The sequence below is a fragment of the Homo sapiens genome, chromosome 1, assembly GCF_000001405.40.
Source record: "Homo sapiens chromosome 1, GRCh38.p14 Primary Assembly".
Lineage (NCBI taxonomy): Eukaryota > Metazoa > Chordata > Mammalia > Primates > Hominidae > Homo > Homo sapiens.
The window spans coordinates 3,915,448-3,921,143 of record NC_000001.11 but is presented as its reverse complement, the minus strand read 5'-3'; positions in this window follow the sequence as shown (position 1 = coordinate 3,921,143).

The following is a 5,696-nucleotide window of genomic DNA, read 5'->3' as shown; positions in this document are numbered from 1 at the left end:
AGACGTTTGAAGTGCTCATTTTAATGAGTTTTGACAACTGTATACACCCATGTAATCACCACCCAAAAGAAGAGGTAAAGCTGGATTTTTTCAGCCCTAGAAAGGTTTCTGAGTCCCCATTCCAGTCCATCACCTCCCCGTCAGAGGCCAGGGCTTGCATGTTGAGAAATGATCGAGGCAGCTTTAAGAGGCCTTTCTGTCATAATCTGGCTGTACCTTTCCCTAAAGCAGGGGCCAGAGCTGGGCACAGTGGCTCATGCCTGTAATCCCAGCATTTTGGGAGGCCGAGGCGGGTGATCACTTGAGCCCAGGAGTTCGAGACCAGCCTGGGCAACATGATGAAACCCCATCTCTACAAAAAATACAAAAATTAGCCATGTGTGGTGGTGGCATGCACCTGTATCCCCAGCTACATAGGGGCTGAGGGCCAGGGATCACTTGATCCCAGGACATCGAGGCTGCAGTGAGATACTGCACTCTAGCCAGGGTGACAGGGTGAGAAAAAGAGAGGGAGAGGGAGAGAAAAAGAGAGGGAGGGAGGGAAGGAAGGGAGGGAGGGAAGGAAGGGAGGGAAGGGAGGGAGGGAGGGGGGAAGGAAGGAGGGAAGGAAGGAAGGAAGGAAGGAAGGAGAGAAAAAGAGGGGAAGGGGGAGGGAGGGAGGGAGGGAAAGACAAAGAAAAGAAGGAAGGGAGGGACGGAGGGAGGGAGTGAGAGGGAGAGAAAAAGAGAGGGAGGGAAGAGGGAGGGAGGGAGGAAGGAAGGAAGGAGGGAAGGAAGGAAGGAGAGAAAAAGAGGGGAAGGGGGAGGGATGGAGGGAAAGACAAAGAAAAGGAAGGAAGGGAGGGAGGGAGGAGGGAGGGAAGGGAGGGAAGGAGGGAAGGAGGGAAGGGGAGGGAGGGAGGGAGGAAGGAAGGGAGGAAGGAAGGGGAGAAAAAGAGGGGAAGGGGGAGGGAGGGAGGGAAAGACAAAGAAAAGAAGGAAGGGAGGGAGGGATGGAGGGAGAGAGGGAAGAAGGAAGGGAAGGAAGGAAGGGAGGGAGGGAGGGGGAAGGAGGGAGGGAGGGCGGGCTGGTGGGCAAGCGAGCTAGTTGCTATTTCCAATGCCCTTGGAACTTCAGTGCCCATTGTCAGCCTGAAACCTGCAGAACAGAGCAGGGGAAAGTGCCAGCCAGTGAATACCTGAGGACGGGGGCATGGGTGGCCATGACATGTAGATATGCAGAGTGCACCCAGCCCCATGGCATTCATAGGGTGAGGGGCCCAGAGACCAAGACAGCCCAGGGCTGCAGGCTGGGAGAAGATACCTAGAGCAAGTCCTGGAAATGGAGCTGGTCCTGCGTGGTTAAAGTGCCTCAGGGACTGGACAACTGGGCATTTTTATCACTCCATGGAACTGGGGGCAGCCCCTTGTCGTGCATGGGAGGGGGCTTGCACTGGGTCTTTCCCCATAGGCCTCCTGATCCCTGGGATGTGAGTAGCCACTGTTGCCAATGCTCACTAACCCTAGGCTCCCTGATGTCCCCGACACCTTGCCAACCTGGGCCTTCATCACCAGGCAAAGTGGCCAGAGAGAGAATGTGGATGTCTCAGGAGACGGCCTGTGTGCCCACTCATGAAGAATCGTTTCCTGGAGCAGGGCAGAGCATCCCCTTCCACCGCCACTGTCCTTGAGAAAGGGAGGGTTCCAGACGCAGATGACTTTCAGCCCCTATCTGGAAAAGGGAAAAGACTGTCCCCACAACAGCAGCTGGCACTGTGGGCTGGGGTGAAATGGCAGCATTTGCTGGCCTCCACTGGTGGCCTTCCGGGCACACAAAGGTTTCCTCTGAACCAAGCAGGGGACCCACATGAGCAGCAAAGCCACAAATAGCACTGGGGAGGGCGAGCCCTTTGTAGCGGGTGAATTGCCAATAAAGGTCTGGAGGTGGGAAGGAAGCAACCAGGGTGTCCTGCTGGGAGAATGAGATGCCCTCAGGCACCCTGTCCTCCAGCGCCGCTCGGAACAGCCCTCTGCCTGGCAAGTCCGGGGGTGGTGATCCTGGAAATAAATCCCCTACGCTATTAACCCGGGAGGGCTCTTGGTCTTCTCTGTCTGGTCACGACCTGCCATCACTCCAGCATTCAGGGCCGTTTGCAGCCAGTGTTTTGGATGAGAATTTGACCTGGAATTAGCTCCAGGGTTTCCTGGGAACTCTACTGCGTGAACACAGCGAAGCGCCTCTGCAGGTTGTTTTTCGTCCCCCATGAGCAGAAACACATGAGCTTATTCCAAAAATAAGAAGGTTACGTGCTGACTCCCCACCCCCAGGCAAAGACTTCTACGTTATCCAGGTGTTTTCTGTGGCTCCCTTACAAGGCAGCTCTTCACAAAGAAAGCCTGCCTCAGAGATCTGCCCGAGCCTGGCTCTGTGGGATGTGAGGCTCCATCATATTTGCAAAGCGGCCCTGTATTAGTCCATTTTCACACTGCTGATAAAGACATACCCGAAACTGGGCAATTTACTAAAGAAAGAGATTGAATGGACTTACAGTTCCACGTGGCTGGGGAGGCCTCACAATCATGGCGGAAGGCAAGGAGGAGCAAGTCACATCTTACATGGATGGCAGCAGGCAAAGAGAGAGAGCTTATGTGGGGAAACTCCCCCTTATAAAACCATCAGATCTCATGAGACTTATTCACTATCATGAGAACAGCATGGGAAAGACCTGCCCCCATGATTCAATCACCTCCCACCAGGTCCCTCCCACAACACATGGGAATTCAAGGTAAGATTCGGGTGGGGACACAGCCAAACTATATCGGGTCCCCTTTGGAATGCCAGTGTCCCCATTCACCTTTGCATCCTCCAACTTGGCCTGGCTAGCTCCAAAGAGTGGATGACCATAAGCCAGAGGAAAGGAGGGAAAGGAGAATTCAACCTGTTGAGCCCCATCTATGAGTACATGCCCATCCTGGAGCAACACATGACACATGCCTTGTCACAGAAGGAGGCACAGTAGGCTTCGATGTCTGGGTACCCAGCACACACTTTCCCTACCCTGGGAACCACCCATGCCCCTCTGGCATAGGGGTAACCTCAGGATGGAGCCAACTCCACCCAGCTCCAGTGCAGGCCTGACCCATCAGCTCCGGCAGTCCCCTGGAACCAATGGCAGGGCACAGGACCTCGTCAGAGACCAGGGACCACAGACACACTCCCAGGTGGCTGGAATCTGGGAGGATGCGGGCCCTGGGCTTCGGCCATGTCTTGCCCCGATCTGGAACTTGGGACTGAAGCCCACGAGGAGGTGACAAGAACCAGAGAGGGAGGCTAGACCCCAGGATTTGCAGTTATGAGGCTAGACCCCAGGATTTGCAGTTACGAGATCTGAAGTCCTTTCTTTGGCTTCAGCCGATTAGGGTTGCTTCTCCTCATCACCTGCAACCCAGAGAGCTAGAATAGATACAGCCCTGCTGTCAGATAAGGGAACCGAGGCTCAGAGGGACCAGGCAATGCAATCAGGTTTGTGCCGCTGTTTACCTGCAGAGCTGAGCTTAAAACTGGAACTCAGTAAGAAAGAATTTAAAATGCTGCCAATTAAACTTTAACACAATGCTTTCTTATTATCTATAATTTTATTTTAAAATGTGTTATGCTTTGGGAGGCCAACGTGGGAGGATCATTTGAGCCCAGGAGCTCAAGGCTGCAGTGAGCTGGGATTGCACTGCTGCACCCCAGCCTGGGCTACAGAGCAAGACCCTGTCTCTTAAAAAAAAAAAAAATTACTTAAAAAATTTTTATAGACTTAGAAGGCCTTGGTTTTTCTTTTCTTTTCTTTTCTTTTTTTTTTGGCATCCTAATTTCTCTCATTATACACACAGAAAAGAGGAAAACATAAGTAAAATAAGTCTCTGTTGTTTCTTTTTTTTTTCTTTTTTGAGACAAAGAGTCTCGCTCTGTTGCCCAGGCTGGAGTGCAGTGGCGCACTCTTGGCTCACTGCAACCTCTGCCTCCCAGGTTCAAGCAATTCTCCTGCCTCAGCCTCCCGAGTAACTGGGATTACAGACACATGCCGCCACGCCCAGCTAATTTTTGTATTTTTAGTAGAGACGGGGTTTCACCATGTTGGCCAGGCTGACCTCCAGTGATCCACCTGCCTCGGCTTCCCTCCCAAAGTGCTGGGATTACAGGTGTGAGCCACCGTACCCAGCCAATCTCTGTTATTTCTGAATGTCCTCACCATCAGAGCCCCCTTCACCTGAGCATCTCTGACTTAGAGTGCCAATGTCCGTGAGCCCCTACGCAGCATCACCCTCTGGGTCGTCGTCGGGAGCCATGAGATGGGGCACTCCTGCTAAGAGGGGCCCACTGCTGTGTCTTCCAAGCTGCTGATGCCCACTCCAAGTATGAATGCTGGTATCTTCTAGAGCAAGTTGAGGGAGGGTTTTCTGCAACAACAAGAACCCCTACTCCTTCCTCAGTTGGTCCGTACGTGGTTTGTGGACTGGGGTGTTGAGGCTGCAGTTATCCACACGGCACCAGGAATAACCACCAAGTTCATACGCGATTAGAGATTTCATATGCTGAGATTGTTTTTTTAATTCACATGTGAGCAGACAACGGCAACTGCAGCCCGGATGCCACACTTGCTGTCAGATGCATCCCAATTCAGAGACGCTGGGGTGGGAAAGGGTACGTGTCAGATTCTATGAAACAGATCAGAACGCGCACCCCGCTCTGGAGTTTGCAGAGCACTTACTCATTCATTAACTATCTCATTCGATTTCAAACACATCAATGAAAAGTATTTTTATCTGTACTTTACTGTAGGGATCGGAGATCCGGAAGCTATGTATTCCCTGGCCACATAGCTACTGCGTGGCAGGGCCCAGATCCAAGCCCAAGCTTTCTGCCTCCAGAGCCGACATTCTGTTTAAAAATCAGGGAAATACCAAAGTGGAGGAGAGAAAGTTGGCGGCTTTAAAATGTGATATTAAAAACTATCTGTTGTCAAGGTCTTGAGGGGACCCAAATAACATCACCCTTCTTCCCACCCGAGTTCTGGACCGAATAAGAAACAAGACAAATGCGTCTGCAGATGGAGAACCAAAGTCTCTGTTGTCACGGGTGAGGCAAGGCAGGCCATGCAGCTCTGCAGGAGAGCCAGGTGGGCTCCTGCCCCACAGCAGACCAGTTGGAGGCTGAACTGGCAGGACAGACACACTCACCACCCGCTGCCCCACCCCGATCCAGCCGAGAGGGGACGAGGAAGAGATGGGATGCCTTCAGCACACAGCCTGGCGTATTTTGCCTGAATCCACCTGGCAAGGGTGGACCATGGGCTGTCACCCACCAGGAAGTTCTCTCTGCCACCGAGGGGAGGGAGGGAGGGCCAGGGGCCACAGTGTCCCAGGTGGGTGTCCTTCACTGGGAGGGAACATCAGGAGTGCACAGTAAACACCCCACCCAACCCCACACGGTTCCTCTTGGTTCTAGGGCTATCAGAAGGCTTCATCTCGGGAGAGCTGCTCTCCTGTTTGGTGGGAACCCCGCCCGTGGCCTTAGGATGACACGGAGATGATGCCCAGAGCCTGCTGTGAACTCAGGGAGGCTGAGACAGAGGAGCTCAGCTGCTCTGTACAGCGATCATCATGTGGCCCAGTCCAGATTCACTCAAGAAAGCAGTCAGTCACTCTACGGATTTCAGGAAAGGGGG